This window comes from Homo sapiens, chromosome 7, assembly GCF_000001405.40.
Source record: "Homo sapiens chromosome 7, GRCh38.p14 Primary Assembly".
In the NCBI taxonomy this organism is placed as follows: domain Eukaryota; kingdom Metazoa; phylum Chordata; class Mammalia; order Primates; family Hominidae; genus Homo; species Homo sapiens.
In genome coordinates, this window is record NC_000007.14 from 66,627,222 (window position 1) to 66,645,505 (window position 18,284).

The 18,284-nt window shown below is 48.3% G+C and overlaps 1 protein-coding gene across 2 annotated transcripts, besides 4 other annotated features; it reads left to right on the top strand.

The window, feature by feature from the left end:
• Positions 241-440: a silencer, noted in NCBI's record as "silent region_18209". NCBI's record gives its function as "represses an Ori minimal core promoter by ATAC-STARR-seq in GM12878 lymphoblastoid cells {active_cell/tissue: GM12878}" and the evidence as "EXISTENCE:reporter gene assay evidence [ECO:0000049][PMID:35858748]".
• Positions 1,451-2,020: a silencer, noted in NCBI's record as "silent region_18210". NCBI's record gives its function as "represses an Ori minimal core promoter by ATAC-STARR-seq in GM12878 lymphoblastoid cells {active_cell/tissue: GM12878}" and the evidence as "EXISTENCE:reporter gene assay evidence [ECO:0000049][PMID:35858748]".
• Positions 1,660-16,008, top strand: KCTD7 (potassium channel tetramerization domain containing 7). 2 transcript variants are annotated; one of them, NM_001167961.2, is made up of 5 exons: positions 1,660-1,987; positions 6,054-6,223; positions 11,032-11,210; positions 11,635-12,007; positions 13,173-16,008. In NM_001167961.2, coding segments are annotated over exons 1-5 (867 nt in total). In that variant the 5' UTR covers positions 1,660-1,843; the 3' UTR covers positions 13,174-16,008. The 2 variants fall into 2 exon arrangements, with proteins under 2 accessions (NP_001161433.1, NP_694578.1); NM_153033.5 differs by having other exon boundaries at positions 11,635-15,826.
• Positions 5,296-5,345: an enhancer, noted in NCBI's record as "active region_26084". NCBI's record gives its function as "activates an Ori minimal core promoter by ATAC-STARR-seq in GM12878 lymphoblastoid cells {active_cell/tissue: GM12878}" and the evidence as "EXISTENCE:reporter gene assay evidence [ECO:0000049][PMID:35858748]".
• Positions 9,040-9,129: an enhancer, noted in NCBI's record as "active region_26085". NCBI's record gives its function as "activates an Ori minimal core promoter by ATAC-STARR-seq in GM12878 lymphoblastoid cells {active_cell/tissue: GM12878}" and the evidence as "EXISTENCE:reporter gene assay evidence [ECO:0000049][PMID:35858748]".

An 18,284-nucleotide genomic window follows, 5' to 3' on the forward strand; every position in this document is an offset into this window, starting at 1 on the left:
CATGCAATATTTATGTCTTTCTGTGCCTGGCTTATTTCACTTAACATAATGACGTCCATCCACGTTGCTGCAGATGACGTGATTTCATTCCTTTTCATCTGTGTTTAAACAAGGTCTCCCTCCAGGGATTTTGATGCAACTGAAGTTGGAGAAAACACAGACCTAGGACACTCCTGCAGCTGGGAGTGCGATGGTCTAACAGAGGAAGTGCTATGCCACCAGCTCATCTTTGCCATCCTGGAGCTGTCTAATCTACGACTCAGTTTTCTTTTCTGTCACTACACTGTGAGAATGAGATGAGGAACTGGGTGTGAAAACGGTTTGAAAAGGAGAAGCATGGTTGCACACGCCTGCGATCCCAGCACTTTGGGAGGCTGACGAGGGAGGACAGCTTGAGGCAAGGAGTTTGAGACCAGCCTGGGCAACATGACAAGACCCCATTTCTTAAAAAAAAAAAAAAAAAAAAATTTTTTTTTCTTTTTTGAGACGGAGTTTCGCTCTTGTTGCCCAGGTTGGAGTATAGTGGCCGTGATCTCGCCTCACTGCAATCTCCATCTCCTGGGTTCAAGCGATTCTCCTGCCTCAGCCTCCCTAGTAGCTGGGATTGCAGGTGTGCCACCATGCCTGGCTAATTTTGTATTTTTAGTAGAGATGAGGTTTCACCATGTTGGCCAGGCTGGTCTCAACTTCCTGACCTCAGGTGATCCACCCGCATCGCTTACCAAAGAGCCAGGATTACAGGCGTGAGCCACTGCGCCCGGCCAAAATTTTAAAAAATCAGCTGAGTGTGGTGGTGCGCGTCTGTGGTCCCAGCTACTCGGGAGGCTGGGGCGGGAGGATTGCTTGAGCCCAGGGGTTGCAATGAGCTATGATTGCGCCACTGCACTTCAGCCTGGGTAACAGAGTGAGACTTTGTCTTTTAAAGAAAGGAGAAAATGGCTTGAACGGGCTAAGAACCTTGACCCCCAGGAGACTCCCTGCGCTGATAGAGCCTCTAGGGCTGGACTCCGCCTCCCAGGGAGCCGGGAGCATCTTGGGGAAGGGCCTGTCTCCATCTGTGTGTCCCGGTGGAAAAACGGTCACGGTGGGGAGTCACTGTCATTATTCATTGAACTCAAGCGCTCCTATTTTGGGTTTTCTCGTTCGGATTTCTGCGCGAGCGAGTGAGGAAGAACTGGACACCCGGGCGGTGCCCTGCGGCTCGGGGCGGGGCCAGCCGCGGTGGCGTGTCCGCAGCCACCTCAGCCCTCCTCCCGCCACATCCTCCAGGAAAGGCTGCTCAGGCCTTCCATTGAGGAGACAAGGACCCGCTGCTCTGGGGCCAGACACACGAGTAAGTCGTGACCCCCTGTGTGAAGGGATAAGGCGTCTACCCTGACGCGGGTGAGAACCCTCTTCACGGCAGACTCCGACGCCCAGTTATGAGAGCGTAGCGGCGCACCACCGCCGGGTCTCTCGGAGAGGGCGCGCCCGCTGGCCAGAGGACCAATCAGTGCACGGCAGGCTCGCAGGCCGCCCCCCCCCCCCCCCCCCAACCCAGGGACCACTCAGGCGCCGGCCGCTGGCGCTGCCTGCTCTTCGACTGGGCGAGCTTCCTGCCAATCAGGGCGGAACCAGCGCGGCGTCGGCCAGTAGCGGGAGGCGGTCGGGTCAGGCCCCAGCTGGGCGCGAGCGGGTCGGCGTTGAGGGAGCCACCGCCCTCCCGCCTGCGCACTGCCTCTCGCCCCCCTCCGGCCAGCCCGCAGCCGGCCGCGTCATGCCAGGCGCTGCTCGGCGGTAGGGAGTGCCCGGGGCCGCCGCCTCCGCCCGCCCGAAGCCGCGCCCACTGCCCAGAGCCAGAGGGATGGTGGTAGTCACGGGGCGGGAGCCAGACAGCCGTCGTCAGGACGGTGCCATGTCCAGCTCTGACGCCGAAGACGACTTTCTGGAGCCGGCCACGCCGACGGCCACGCAGGCGGGGCACGCGCTGCCCCTGCTGCCACAGGAGGTACCCGGGCGGGCGGCGGGCCGCGGGGCGTGGGGAGGGGCGCGGGGGAGAAGCGGGCGCGGGGCATAGCGGTCCTCGGCGGGTGGGCGGGGCCGGGGTTGGGGGCGGGGCCCGCGGACTTGCGCCCCTCCCCCGCCCACCTGCAACTCCCCCGCCCACCTGCACCCCTACCCACCCACCTTCAACCCCTGTCAATTACACCCACTAGGTGTGCTTCCCCACCCCCTACACCCTCCGCCCAGTAGTCACTGGGGTGATTTACTCCCATCGCCATGTCCCACTTTTACCGAAGACAGGAGGGAGGGTGGGCCGTGGGAGGGGGACCCTGGAGCCCCGAGAGCTGATGGTGTGTCTGACCAGGCACCGTAGCTCGAGCCTGTAATCCCAACACATTGGGAGGGAGGATCGCTTGAGGGCAGGAGTTGGAGGCCAGCCTGGGCAACATAGCGAGGCCCCGTCCCTACTACGACTGGAAAAACAAAGGCATTTTGGGTTGGATGAATAAAAAAAAGAAAAGAAAAAGATGTCTTCTAGAGAATCCAACAGGATGCTGTAGTGGTTGCCCACACCTAGTCTCCAGCTACCTAAGGAACAAGGCAAGGAGCTGTCTGCACATAAGGGGCAGGCCAGTTCATAGATGTAGGCACGGTCACCTGGCATCCCATGGCTTTCACTCACAGGCTGCTGTGCTCTGGTGCACAGGGGCTTCCACGGGTCTTACTTAATGTGTGTGATACTATCATGTCAACACCTGAAATGACACTCAAGAGACGGGAGAAGATACCAGGCATGGTGGCTCACATCTGTAATCTCAGCAGTTTGGGATGCTGAGGTGGGAGGATTGCTTGATCCCAGCAGTTAGAGACTAGTCAGGGCAACAGTGAGACCCTGCCTCTACAAAAATGAAAATTAGCCAGGCTTGGTGGTGTGTGCCTGTAGTCCCAGGTGCTCAGGAAGGTGAGTTGGGAGGATTGCTTGAGCCCTGGAGGTTGAGGCTGCAGTGAGCTGTAATTGTGCCACTGTACTCCAGCCTGGGTGTGATAGAGTAAGACCGTACCTACAAACAAACAAAAACAAAAAAAGCAAGAGAAGGGAAACGATGCCAGGTGTGGTGGCTTACACTTGTAATCCCAGCACTTTGGGAGGTCAAGGCAGGAGGATGGTTTGAGGCCAGGAGTCTGGGACCAGCTTGGGCAACACAGACTCCATCTCTACAAATAAAAAATAAAGAGGAGGGAAGGTGAAGCATTACTGGACACCGAAGATGGCTTCTAGGAGGCAGGGACTAAGGTAGTGCCAGATCCAGGAGCATGTGGTATGCGGAGTCCCAGGACAATGGAGGCCCTCAACAATTGAGGCCCTCAACAGGCTGGGCTAGGTGATGCTCTTGGGAAGCAGATAGTGTTGTGCTGGGATTGCAAGCCCCATACACACAATGCCATGGGAAAATGAGCAAAAATCTAGAAGTAATCTCTGCAATTGGAAAAAAGTCATTAGTCACAGTGGTGCTATTTTTTTGTGCACTGTCATTGGGAAAATGATATGGTTTGAGGGAAAGAGCACAAGACCACAGATTGCAGACCAGGGCCCCACCACCAGTTCCCCCCACTGATGACATTGCCCCATGTGAGCTCCAAAACTGTTTCCGATGGCTTTTGTCCTCTCTGCTTCAATCCTCTCATCTCTAATATGGAGCAAGCACTTGGATTGGTATGAAGTATCTTTAGAAAAGGTTTAAAGAGCTCCAGAAATGTTAAGTATTATTATTCCAAAATGATATCTGAGCCCTTGATATACACATAAAATGGTTTTAGAGGACCTACAGAATAAGCGCAAGGCATTTTCATGTCCTGTGGGTGCAGAAGAGTAACAGTGCATACACACACGGAAGTGTAACTACCTGTCTATTTCTTTCATTCATTCGGTGAATTTTGGGTCTTTATTTGAGCCAGGCGCTGCACAAGGCCCTGGGTCAGCTTTATTTAATGTATTTGTACCCTATTTTATTTCACAAAGGATTTGAAAGCTGGGAAAGGTACTGTGTAGATAAGCAGACTTTCACTGGAGCAGGAGAGATGTAATATTGAAAAGGATGCATGGCTATAATCCCAGCACTTTGGGAGGCCAAGGCAGGAAGATCACTTGAGGTTAGGACTTTGAGACCAGCTTGGCCAACATGGTGAAACCCCATCTCTACTAAAAATACAAAAATTAGTTGGGTGTGGCCATGCCCACCTGTAGTCCCAGCTACTTTGGAGGCTGGGGCAGCAGAATCTCTTGAACCCGGGAGGCAGAGGTTGCAGTGAACCGAGATCGTGCCATTGCACTCCAGCCTGGGTGTTGCAATGAGATTCCGTCTCAAAAAAAAAAAAAAAAGATGCATAGGGATACAATTTGAATTGATCTGGAGGAAGTTTGTGGGAAGATTAAAGAGAACTTAAACTGACCTCATTTTTTCAAATGCAGTTTGGTAGAAACCACAAGCAGTGCAAAACAGGAAAAAAAAAAAAGCCTTGCATTTTAAGGGAAACCTCGAGCTTCTTAGGGCACATTTATACCATCATTTTCATGTTCCTCACTCAGCCCTTACCTCCAGAACCTTAGCTGGACCGGAAACCAGGCTCACTCTACAGATTAGGAGAGGAGTAGATGCCTGGAAGTATTCAACACACAACTACTGAGCTCTGCTGTGGGCAGCCCATGATTGGTGACCAAGATGCTTTCCCTGTCTTTGGGAAGCTTGGGGTCTAGTGGAGTGAATTGACAGAGGGAAATAATTGGCGATGTATCGTGCTAGGTGCTATTATAGAGGAGAATATGACACACGGTGAAGGCACAGTCGAAGAATGTGTCATTAACTCTGTCCTAGGGGCAGGTGAGGGACAGTAGACAGAAATGCTCACAGATGAGGGGAACTTGAATAGAAATTTCTAGAATGAGTAGATGCCACTAAACTGTATGGTGTGTTGGTGTGAATTAGAAAAAGGGCACATAGCAGGCCGGGCGTGGTGGCTCACGCCGGTAATCCCAGCACTTGGGGAGGCCAAGGCGGGCGGATCATGAGGTCAGGAGATCGAGACAATCCTGGCTAACACGGTGAAACCCTATCTCTACTAAAAATACAAAAAATTAGCCAGTCGTGGTGGCAGGCACCTGTAGTCCCAGCTACTCGGGAGGCTGAGGCAGGAGAATGGTGTGAACCCGAGAGGCGGAGGTTGCAGTGAGCCGAGATCGCGCCACTGAACTCCAGCCTGGGTGACACAGGCTGGGACTCCGTCTCAAAAAAAAAAAAAAAAAGAAAAAGGGCACATAGCAGATGACTCTCATCCAGGTGCTTTTATGCAGTGAACAACCTATAACACTGTATGGGTCCATTTAACTTGCCATATAGACAGAAGAAGGAGACTGGTAAGAGCATTTTGGGCAAAGAAGACAATGTGAGCAAGAGCACTAAGATAGTAAATTCAGGAAGTGAAAGGACACTGAAGGCTTGAGCTCTAGAGCAGCGATAATGGAGTTGAGGTGGAGAGACCTGATTTAAAAGCTATCAGGGGGCCAGGCACAGTGGCTCATGCCTGTAATCCCAGCACTTTGGGAGGCCGAGGCAGGTGGATCATGAGGTCAGGAGATCGAGACCATCCTGGCTAACGCAGTGAAACCCCATCTCTACTAAAAAAATATATATATATATACAAAAAATTAGCCGGGTGTGGTGGAGGGCGCCTGTAGTCCCAGCTACTCCGGGAGGCTGAGGCAGGAGAATGGCGTGAACCCGGGAGGCGGAGCTTGCAGTGAGCCAACATCACGCCACTGCACTCCAGCCTGGGAGATGAGTGAAACTCCATCTCAAAAAAAAAAGAGCTATGAGGGTTAGAATGGGTAGGACTTGGCAGATGATGAGGGTGGGGCAGAGGGAGGAGAGAGAAGAAAGTGTTCAGATGGACCCGTGGGCTTGAGTGACTGAATGAATGGTGTGGCACCAATCAGACCCCAGGGATTGAAGATGGAGCAGCCCCAGCTCTCATTCCCCGTTGCCTGCCTGAGAGCCCTGGTGATTTCTTTCCAGTTTCCTGAGGTTGTTCCCCTTAACATCGGAGGGGCTCACTTCACTACACGCCTGTCCACACTGCGGTGCTACGAAGACACCATGTTGGCAGCCATGTTCAGTGGGCGGCACTACATCCCCACGGACTCCGAGGGCCGGTACTTCATCGACCGAGATGGCACACACTTTGGGTATGTCTCTCCCTCTACAATCAACTTTGTAGTCCTAGCAGGTGATTAGCGTAGGCTTGAGTATGGGACCTTGATATCTTCCATAGTACCTAGAAGAGGAGATAGCATATTGATGAAATTTAATAAATGGGTTTATTGAAAGAGATCAATTTTTTTTTTTTTTTTTGCCAAAGGAGACAAAGACAGCCAGAGAAATTCGAAATAACACACTGGCTGGATGAAATTGCTTCAATCATAGACAATTAAACAATTTTTATTTTCAGCTCTGCGCGGTGCTCATGCCTGTAATCCCAGCACTTTGGGAGGCTGAGGCAGGTAGATCACTTGAGGCCAGGAGTTCCAGACCAGCTCATTACAGCATGGTGAAACCCCATCTCTACTAAAAATACAAAAATTAGCTGGGTGTGGTGGCTCATACCTGCAATCCCAGCTACTCAGGAAGCTGAGGTCGAAGAATCGCTTGAACCCAGGAGGCAGAGGTTGCAGTGACCCGAGATCACGCCTCTGCGCTCCAGCCTGGGCGACACGAGATTCCATCTCAAAAAACAAAACAAAATTTCATTTTTATTTATTTATTATTTATTTATTTATCTCATTATACACCCACACACACAGATGTACACATACATGCACACATATATATATATGTATATATGGGTGTGTGTATACATATATATATATATATATATATATGTATATATATGAGCTCTGATGCACTGAGGCTTCCACTGGTCTTGATGTGTGTGATTCTATCTATCTATCTATCTATCTATCTATCTATCTATAAAAATAAAGATAGGATCTTGCTGTGTTGCCCAGACTGGTCTCAAGCTCCTGGCCTTAGGCAGTCCTCCCACCTTGGCCTCCTAAAATGCTGGTATTACAGTATTTATTTAAGTTTTAGGTGTTGTTTTTTTTTCGGGGGCTGTTTTTTTGGAGATAGGGTCTTGCTATGTTGCCCAGGGTGGAATGTAGTGGTTGTTCACCAGTGCCATCATAGCTCACTGCATCCTTAAACTCCTGGCTCAAGCAGTCTTCTCCCTTCAGCCTCCTGAATAGCTGAGACTACAGGTGTGCGCCACTGCACCTGGCTGTCCTATGCAATATGAGACCAGGAAGTTGTCATCTGTGTGGAGAGGAATAAGTGTAATCCCACATAGGGGGATAGTCTAAAACAACATGGAGAGTACCTTTAGACCTGGATTTTGGGGCTCAGCGTTGCCATGGGAAGGAGGCATGGTGTGTAGCAGTGGTTACCAGACTTCTTTCAGTAGTTTAAAGGAATAAAAAGAGATGGAAGACTGATACAGTGTTGTTCTTTAATTTTGCCAAGGAAAGTCTTTAAAAAAAAAAAAACCCTCTGTTGTTCTTGTCACTTAACACTAAAATGTGGAAAAACACAATGTCAACAACAGCAAAATAGCAGCCAGGCGTGGTGGTACTTGCCTGTAGTCACAGCTACTTGTGAGGCCGAGGTGGGAGGATTGGTTGAGCTCAGGAGTTGGAGTCTGCAGTGAGCCATGATCCTACCACTGTGCTCCAGCCAGGGCAACAGAGTGAGACTGTCTTTTTTTTTTTTTTTTTTTTGAGTCAGCGTCTTGCTCTGTTGCCCAAGCTGAGTGCAGTGATGCAAGCACAGCTCACTACAGCCTTGACCTCCCAGGTGCAAGCAATTTTGCTGCCTCAGTTTCCCAAGTAGCTGGGACTAGAGGTGCACACCACCACGCCTGGCTAATTTTTGATGTTTTTTAGAGATGAGGTTTCACTATGTTGGCCAGGATGTTCTCGAACACCTGGACTCAAGTGATCCTCCTGCCTCAGACTGCCAAAGTGCTGGGATTACAGGCCCAGCCTGTAGTTTGTGTCCGGCCCGGCCGAGACTCTGTGTCTTAAAAAAGAAAACAAAACCTTTCCCAAGAAAGGACTTCTGACAGTCTTACATGTAAACAATTTAAAGACTTTATGTCTCAGGGGTTCCATGTTTGTGAAATGAGAAATAATTATAGCTGCTGCACAGGCTTGTCAAAGAGGATTATATAAAGAGCCTTGGTGTGACCCCTAGCCATGTCCTTTTCAGAGTACGTGGCTGGAACTCTTAGCTCCTTCAGTCTGACATTGGAGATGACTAGAGACCTTGAACCAAGTGCCCAGGAGGCAGAAACTCTCCAACCACTACATCTCTGTGCTGGCCTCCAAGAAGGATTGCCCACATTGTGGGAAAGATCATTTTTATTCTCAGAAAGGAGCCCCTGGTCAAATAACTTGCTTGGAAGCATCTGGGTTTCCCCAGTGGGCTATCAGCTGCCTCCAATGCTGAGAAAACAAAGTGTCACATCGCTCTGCAGAACTATAAAAAGATGTTTGTTTGCGGGCTGTTTGGGGAAGGAAAGTGCCGGCCCCAGCTAGCAGCTCCCACAGCACCCTTAGCTGGGCCTTGCCCCAGGGTTTTGTTTTTCAGAGCTCACCAAGGTTTGCTGAAGATCTAGAAGGGATTTTGGGGAGGGGTTCTGGGTTTGACTTGAGGTGGATGTGCCCATGCTCAGGTGGCCACAGCTAGAGAGTGACAGCGCCAGGCAAGGGCATGGCAGAAAGCAGGAGATGGCGACATTCTTACTTTGGCTGATGAGCTCCTGTGACCTATGATTCATCAGCAGCAGATGAAGTTGTTGAATGACTCAGATAAAATAGGCGGTTCAGGGCATTTCGTAGGGTGCATTTCTTACTATACAGCTTATGTATCCCTAGCGTCCACCGTGAAGGCTGCTTGGGCCTCAGTCTGGGGTCGTTCCCCATTGTCATCAGCTTGCTGCACTCTGGTCTAAATGTTTCTGCTGAAGCTGGACCATGGTAGATGTGGGTGTAGAATCAGCCATGGCTGGATCTGAGCCTCTGGCAGCGGTGGCTACTTGAGCAAGCATGTTCCTGAACCTGTCTGGGCCCCACTTGAGCCTCATTTATGACATAGAGATAAGATAGCACACACCCCCAATGTCATTGAGAGGATTACATGGGATAACCCATGAATAGTGGCTGGCATGGAGTAATACTTAGCGAGTGTTAGCTGGTGTTGTATTAGGTCATAGACTAAGCTGTTATTGAGGTAGCAGCATTATCTTGGGGTTTACTCACTGTCTTCCGCACGTACGGGTGATGTATCTGATTACTCTGAGCACTAAATAATCTAAAAAGCTGGTGGCTTGCACCTATGGTCCCAGTTATTCGGGAGGCTGAGGCAAGAGGACTGCTTGAGCCCAGGAGTTAGAGGCTGCAGTGAGCTATGATTGCACCACTGCCCTCCAGCCTGGGTGACAGAACAAGATCCTATCTCTTAAAAAAGAAGAAAAAAAATCTGAAAAGTGAATTAGAAGGACTGAATTTTTATTTTAAGAAAATGCAATATGTGATTTTATTCAGCCCTGAAACCAGTTTGTTCAGACATTAGAGTTAGGCATTTTACCTGCTCTGCATAGCTACAGAATAATACTAGTGGCAAGGATGGGGAACACCTAGAACTCTTCTGCATTGCTGTTGGGAATGTAAAATGCTGCAACCACTTTGTTAACCACGTGCTTACCCTATGACTGAATGACTCTACTGCTAATACTTAAAAGAAATTTGTGCTTGTGTCCACTAAAGGTTTCTTTTGTTTGTTTGTTTTTGTGATGGAGTCTCACACTGTCACCCAGACTGGAGTGCAGTGGCGTGATCTTAGCTCACTGCAACCTCCACTTCCCAGGTTGAAGCAGTTCCCCTGCCTCAGCCTCCAGAGTAGCTGGGATTACAGACACCCACCACCATACCTGGCTAATTTTTGTATTTTTAGTAGAGATGGAGTTTCACCGTTTTGGCCAGGCTGGTCTTAAACTCCTGAGCTCAGATGATCCACCCACCTCGGCCTCCCAAAGTGCTGGGATCACACGTGTGAGCCACCGTGCCTGGCCTAAAGGTCTTATATAGGAATGTTCATCCCAGCTTTACTCATAATAGCCAAAAACTGGAAACAACCCAAATGTCCATCAACAAGACAACAGGGTAAATAAATTACACCATATTCATGCAAGGGTATACTTACATAATGAATAATAACTAATAAAAACAAAAAAACAAACTACTGGTTTGTTTTTATTATTTATTTGGTGGATACATTTCAAAAACATTATGTTAAAGGAAAGAAGCCAGGTATGAAAGAGAACATACTATATAATTCTGTTTATATATATATTTCAAGAAAAGGCAAAACTCATCTTTACTGATGGAAGGAGAAGTTAGAGTGGTTGCTTCCGTAGGGATTAACTGGGAAGTGGCATGAGGAACCTTAAGGAATGGAAATGTTTCATCTTGATCTAGGTGATGGTTGGATGGGTATATTCATACTTAAAAAAACAACTGAACTGTACAGTTAATATTTGTACATTTATTGAATATTTCACCTCAATTCTAAAACTATATATATATAAAGGGCTAGGTGTCATATCTTTCCATTATACTTACATATACCTAATAATACCTAATATTATACCTAATAATAGTAATTATAGTTGCTTACTGATAACAACAACTAATAACACTTATTGAGGCCCTACTCTGTGCCAGGGATTTTCTAATCACTTAATTCCCTAACACATTATGAGGTTTTATTGTTTTCTCCAATTTTACAGACAGGGAAACTGAGACATGGAGTAGTTAAGTTCATTTACCCAGTGTAACACAGCTGGCAGTCTGGTTTTAGATTTTGTCCAATGCACACTGTGTGGCACTGCCCAGGAGCATAAGCTCCTTGTCACCGACCCTCTTTCCTTCCTGCTTAGAGATGTGCTGAATTTCCTGCGCTCAGGGGACCTCCCACCCAGGGAGCGTGTTCGAGCTGTGTACAAAGAGGCCCAGTACTATGCCATCGGGCCCCTCCTGGAGCAGCTGGAGAACATGCAGCCACTGAAGGGCGAGAAGGTGCGCCAAGCGTTTCTGGGACTCATGCCCTATTACAAAGGTGAGGGTCAGCTGCCCAGGATGGTGGGTATGTGGGAGGAGGTCTGCAAGGCATCTGTGAGTGTTTAGGTCTCCATCAGAACACCGGGGGCAGCATTCATCCAGATTACTCAAGATGCGATGGAGTGTCATCCCTTCCCAGTCACGCTGGGGAGATTCAGGTTAAGGTGGGCCTACCTGGCCTATGACAGTTAGCAAATTGTATTTCAGAAGGACAGCCCTCGTCCCATTGGCTTCCCTTTGCTGTGGAGAACCGTGACCCTTGTTTAAGTTTGTGCCCTTCATTGGCCCCCTGAGTCCCTTCCCCGGGAAATCTGTCTTTCCCCTCCTGCATCCTGCCATCTTCAGGACTGTTTCTCTGTGCATCTCTGCTGCCCTGTCCTGCCTCTTCACCCTAGTGATAGGTGTTGTGTTCATCCTTATAGACCACTTGGAGCGGATTGTGGAGATCGCCCGGCTGCGTGCGGTCCAGCGGAAGGCCCGCTTTGCCAAGCTCAAGGTCTGTGTCTTCAAGGAGGAGATGCCCATCACCCCCTATGAGTGTCCGCTCCTCAACTCCCTGCGATTTGAGCGGAGTGAGAGTGACGGGCAGCTTTTTGAGCACCACTGTGAAGTGGATGTGTCTTTTGGGCCCTGGGAGGCTGTGGCTGATGTTTATGACCTGCTGCACTGCCTGGTCACGGACCTCTCGGCCCAGGGTCTCACCGTGGACCACCAGTGCATCGGGGTGTGTGACAAGCACCTCGTGAACCACTACTACTGCAAGCGCCCCATCTATGAGTTCAAGATCACATGGTGGTGAGTAGCCCCGGTAGGCGAGAGTCCCATCAGGGAGGATGTCCACCTTGCTTGGTGGCTCTGGGAGTAAGATCCCTGAAGGGGCTGCTGACTGCCCCAGAATCTGCCGAGGTGAGAACAGCATCCTGAGGCACAGCTCCCAGGGGACAGAGGTGTAGCTCCAATCTCCCTGACTGCACCTCAGGGTTGGGCTCAGGGCTTGCGGCCTGCAGGCACTCCAGCCAGCGCTCACCTGGCCTTTCCTCAAGGCATGGTAGTCTTTCCTTGAGGCTGATAGCTAGGGCTTGACCAGGAAGTCCCGAGAAGTTTTGTCACCTTCTTGACCTTGCAAGAGAGTTTCTGCCCATTTTAGAGCCACGTTACCAAATCGATGTAGGCCTAATCACTTCCTCAACCCTGTTCAAGCGTCCCTCCCTTGTGCTCAGTATATTGGTGTGAACACGGAACATGATGGGGGATTTACCTGACCAGCCACCCCATAGCCCCTGGCTGAAGAAGAAAGAGCATCTTCTCTCCCACTGCACCCCTTCTCCTCCAAGAATAGTTGCCCACATTCCCAAAATGTGGAAAGACTTTTCTTTTCCTTCCGGAACATGTTCTTCACCACCTTTTGGAGATTTAACCATAGCTGCCAAAGCTATGCACCCAGTTGGCCTTAGAAAACCACAATGTTTACAGCCCTGTCTTAGGGCCGCGGCTTCTCTTATCTTCCACCACCTTCCTTGCTTGCAGGGTTATCTTCTCACAGGGCTGGAATGCAAATTTCAGAGGCTTCTTTTGAAGATTCCCCAAGTCAAGCAGGCAAGATGCCTAGATCTTCTGTTATCTTTGACATGTAACATCCTTTTTAGAGGCTCAGAACACCTCCTTGGCTGCTATCTCATGTGTTAGAATCCAGTTTGTGGTGAACCTCTTTGGAAGGGGACCCCCTCTCTTTAAACCCTGTTCCTCTGTCCTGGTAACATTCTCCTTCTAGGAGAGCCTCTCTTCTGAGAAGGTAAAGGAAGGGCTGGGTGAGACACACAGCTATCCTAGGAGCCGTAGGAAGACAAAACTTCCCTTTTGTTTTACTCCTCACTCCTCTATTTTTGTTTTACTCACTTCTTTATATTTTGTTTTACTCCTCACTCCTGTATATTTTGGTTTACTTACTCCTCTATTTCAGAAATTGAAAAAGATCCCCAAGGATCTGTTACTACTGCATTTCCTTCTTGCTCTGTCTACAGCCTAGGCCAACTAGTCAGGGTCTGGACATGCATCTCCTAAAGGAAGAACTGTGTAGCACCATTGATCACAATGTAACATTTCCATGCTGCATTAAGGGTGTCTCTCTCTAATCATGATTGTACCTGTCTCTTCCTGGGTAAAGGGAGATTTTTTTTTTTAATGTGTAAAGAATTGATGCGAGCCAGGAACATGTCTGTAGTCCCAGCTACTTGGGCACACGCCTGTAGTCCAGGCCACTCGAGCACACACCTGTAGTACCAGCTACTCTGGAGGCTGAGGCAGGAGGATCACTTGAGCCCAGGAGATTAAGACTGTAGTATACTATGATCGTGCCTGTGGCTAGCCACTGTGCTCCAGCCTGGGCAACACCATCGTAAAAATAAATAAATAAATAAATAAATTGGGGAGGACAGCCTCACTGGTATCAGACTTACAGGACCAGATAGACAAGATGGGTATAAGGGGAGCTGAAGTCTGTGTTCATATGAGGAAGAGAAGACCAAGCCCTGGGACTTTGGCTGAATTCCTCCGTGGGGCTGGACGGCAGTGATCTCCTGTTCCCTATGTGTAAACAAAGATTCCAGGGCGTGGTTTTGCACTCCTGTTGTACTCTTTTAGAGGTGGAAAAGAGGTGGATACTGAGATCTAAGAGGAAAGGATAGTCATTCACGTTCTGAGATATGCGCTCTCTCTATTGTTCTCGTACACAAAGGGATAGTCTCTTTTCTGGAGCTGATGTCCCTGCTTGGAGGTTAGCCCCAAAACATGGCTCTTGTATTGTTCTAAGAGAAAAGGCTTTCATTTTGGTTCTTCTGATTGGTGTTACCTACTGCCTAATATGTGTTCATTTTTTGACAGAGAGGCAGACTATTGAAAAAGTCTGTGTGAACAGAGAGCAGTTCATTAAGCCCATTGCTTTCAGTAATGTGGCCTTGACCCCTTCTGCTTCCCCCTTCTCCCATGGAGCATGGCAGGGCTTGGTTATTTAGAGTCCATACATGCAAGCCATTGAGAGACTTGTTTGCTCAAATGCAAGTTTGCTCAAAAACAGGTCCTGAAGGCTTGCTTAGGATTACAGGGATGCTGGGTAAGAACACCGTTCCTCTCTCTCGCTGGAGAAATCCCTGTTTCTCTGACTCCCTTTGTGATCCTCACAGTAATGTATTCTGTGCCACTGTAGGACACAAGGCTCTGGGCCAGTAGAACAGGCAGAGAGGTGACACTGGGCAGCAAGCTGAGAGCTCTTTCTAAATGGAGTGAAGGAATTCAGTGGCCTAGTTTCGCCATTCTCTAATGAGAAACCAAGGCCAGGCTGAAAAGTGCAATTAGATGTGGTGGATTGTGGTAACGGCCTCCAGATAAAGGGGTTATCCCTGTGGAAGTGACTTTTCCCCATTTGATCCCTTTTCAACTCTAAATGGCCAGGCCCAGAACAGAAGAAGGGTTGGGTCTGGAAGGAAGGCTCCAAAGGATGAAAGCTTCTCCCTGATCATAAGGAAGTGCATCTTTATAGAATTGTTGTGCATAATGTCAGTAAATCCCTCTCACTTGACAAGGGACTGGATTCATCTTGCCTTGAGACGGGCCAGTAGTTATCAGTGAGTCAAAGCAAAGTGAAAGTTTCAGGAGATGGGACCAATGGTGCAATGCTCGCCATAACAAAATTCCTTAAAAATAAAAAAGCTAATGTTATAGCAACAAAAAAAGACTGAAGCAAAACCACACTGAAATGCATCCCACTCCAGGAGAGGAATTCTTAGCGTAACACTCTAAATAAATGGAAGGAATCATCACCTTCCTTATTTTACCTCTGCCTTGTTCACCAGGCTGCCCAGTGCTTACCATGCAGAAAGCAGTCAGCTGTACTCTGGAAGTTTCTGTTCTTCTTTCCTGGGGCTTAGGATATTCTGGGAGCTGTCTGAGCCTTGTGCCTAAGGCTTATCAGGTGATATAATCTTCCTGTTCTGGGCTGCTTGCTGGAGGAATAGGAAGTGACATTTATAAGACACAGGCGGTGTGAGCATCCATGTGTGGTCTTGGTCTAAACCAGCTCTTGAACAGGTTAAAGCAAACAGCAATAACAAAACAAAAACTACTGATGCTGAGCGTTTTGATCCTAGTAATATTTCAAATATTGTCCTTCTGCATATGTTCTATCCATATTTGATTCCAATATACATTATTAAGCTTTCTTGGGTACTATTTTGCTGGGGCTCTTGCGTGAAGGTGGTACCTGTCTCATGATCCTTAAAAGAGAGAGGCTTTTTTCATCCAAAGCTGTAGTGTTGGGAACTGGGGTGGGAGAGGCACTTTTTGGAATTCTGAAAGAATCATATCTGTGTATATACATACTGAGTGGGGAAGGATGGGGGTTGGCAGGGGTTGAGGGAGGTGGGAACAAACAGTGAGTATGGGAACAGGCAGTCACCTCGAGTGTGGGAGGTCACCTGGGTCCGTCGTCTTCCTTCTGTATGGTGTTGGGTTTATGTACACACTATAACACTTCCTGTGTGAGTTCATGTACCTGTCTGTGAGTGCTTTGGTGTATTGAGCCTCAGTACACTCCAAGGGCATTAAAGTCAAGAACTAGAACCTGGGTGCTGTGCCTTTCTTTTTTAGAGATGTGCTCTCATCTCTTCTCTGACCCCCACTTTGCCAGCAAATATTTTTTATTTCTGCTTAAAATGTGGTGTGTTTGGGGATGCCCCACACAACAAGACAGGCTTTTCCCTGAGACCAGCAGCTGAATTTCTGCCCTGAAAGGGAGGTGGGCCTCTTGAGGACCCTTCTAGAGTTACTCTAGACTTGTCCCTGTTTCATGTAGGCATGTGCCCACCCCAGCCTAGGCAAAATCTCTGTCCTCTTCTTTTGGGAGTTCTCCAAGGAAAGAAGAGACTGCAGGTGCAGTCACGTGTGTGGCTCACAACCATGTCAGGTAGTTCTAAAATAAATTCCTCCTGTCATATTACCACTTCCTTTTCAATGGGGGAAATAAGTAGCTCTAAATTTATGTAAGCCTCAGTGGTTAAGACCCTTCCTTAAGAAAAATGGACGTAAGTTGCCCTTCCTTTGAAAGCAGAGCTTGACACCTTCCTGGCTAATGAGTGTCCTCATCAAGATGCCCCCTGGAGTCACATCATGGATTAACGCAGAAAGGTGAGTTCTGAGGCTCTGAGTAGCTTCATACCCTCCAACTGCTTCCCTTAAACCTCTGATTATTCTGGCTTTTAAACAAAAGCACTGTATCATCTGTGCCAAATGTATTCCCTGACTAATTACTGAGTACAGTCACATAGTTATAGTACACTAATAATACAGGCTGGAAACTGAAGCTCATAGAAGTATGTAGTTTCCCCAAGAGTGCAGAGCTAGTAAGTGGAAGAGTCAGGATTCAAACCCAGAGCCCCTTTCTGAAATCCTCAGAGGTGTTCAACAGCATGATCCTCCCTTCCTCTTGACAGCTCGTATCCTCCTCCTGAGGTTTAGGGCTTCACTCTACCTGACCTGTGAAGATTTGAAAGCACATATCTAGGACAAGTATTAGAAAGTCTTCATACTTCAGGAAAGGATTTTAGGAAAAAAGGAAAAAAAAAATCTCCCATAGATGTTGTATTAGTCCATTTTCACACTGCTGTAAAGAACTACCTGAGACCGGTTAATTTATAAAGAAAAGAGGTTTAATTGACCCACAGTTCACATCCCTGGGAGGCCTCAGGAAACTTATAATCATGGCAGAAGGCGAAGTTCAGAAGCAAGGCACATCTTATATGGAGGCAGGAGAGAGAGAGAATGGGGAGGCCAGGCATGGTGGCTCATGCCTGTATAATCCCAGCACTTTGGGAGGCCGAGGCAGGCAGATCACGAGGTCAAGAGATTGAGACCATCCTGGCCAACATGGTGAAACCCCATCTCTATTAAAAAACAAAATACAAAAAAATTAGCTGGGCATGGTGGCGTGCACCTGTAGTCCCAGCTACTCGGGAGGCTGAGGCAGGAGAATCACTTGAACTCAGGAGGCAGAGGTTGCAATAAGCCGAGATCATGCCACTGCACTCCAGCCTGGAAACAGAGTGAGACTCCATCCCACAAAAATAAAAAAAGAGTGGGGAAATGCTACACTTTTAAACCATCAGAGCTCGTGAAAACTCACTATCACAAGAACAGCATAGGGGAAATCTACCTCCATGATCCAATCACCTCCCTCCAGGTCCCTCCCCTGACAAGTGGGGATTACAGTTCAACATGAGATTTGGGTGGGGACACAGAGCCAAACCATATCAAATGTGTAGTCCTTATGTAGCCCCTGTGTTAAGGGGGTAGATGGGGCTCCCGATTTACTGACCTTCTTAGTGAGGGACACATATCCGCTAGGTGAAGGAGGCCCTGTTCACAGGATGATGTATGGAGTATGACAGAGTAGGTGAGTCATGGCTCCTTGGCTAGACCCCAAGGGTGGGATGATCTGGAACCACCTGAGTTAATGACACTCCTGAAGCCTTGCAGGTATCCCTGCATAGACAAGCTGGATAGCCTACTTCCAACATCAAAAGCATAACAGAATGGGAGACTCCTTAGTGTAGTTCAGGGGATGCCATGTGCCTGGCTTGGGACTCATGGCCCTTGGACTTAGATCTCTATACTGCCAAGTGTCCCGTCTTCATTCTTGTGTAGATGACCTCTTCACTACTTAATTTTGGTTTGTTGAACTTATAGCCTGTTCCCTTAGCTTTTATTTACTTACCTTTAGCTTTCTTTTAATTCCTTACCACATTGTTTTTCCTATCATGTACTTTAGCTTAATTTCTCTGTTTTTTAAACATAATTTTAAACTTTCTTTCTTTCTTTCTTTTTTTTTTTTTTGAGACAGTCTTGCTCTGTTGCCCAGGCTGCAGTGTAGTGGTGCAATCTCAGCTCACTACATCCTCCACCAGCTGGGTTCAAGCAATCCTCCTTCGTCAGCCTCCCAAGTAGCTGGGATTACAGACGCGCCACCAAGCCTGGCTAATTTTTGTATTTTTAGTAGAGATGGGGTTTCACCATATTGGCCAGA

Bases quoted from the DNA above. Each gene is read 5' to 3' on its own strand.
- KCTD7 (NM_153033.5), top strand. From the start codon at position 1,844: ATGGTGGTAGTCACGGGGCGGGAGCCAGACAGCCGTCGTCAGGACGGT. The intron at 1,988-6,053 runs GTACCCGGGCGG...ATTTCTTTCCAG, and splicing joins TGCCCCTGCTGCCACAGGAG to TTTCCTGAGGTTGTTCCCCT. The intron at 11,211-11,634 runs GTGAGGGTCAGC...TCATCCTTATAG, and splicing joins ACTCATGCCCTATTACAAAG to ACCACTTGGAGCGGATTGTG.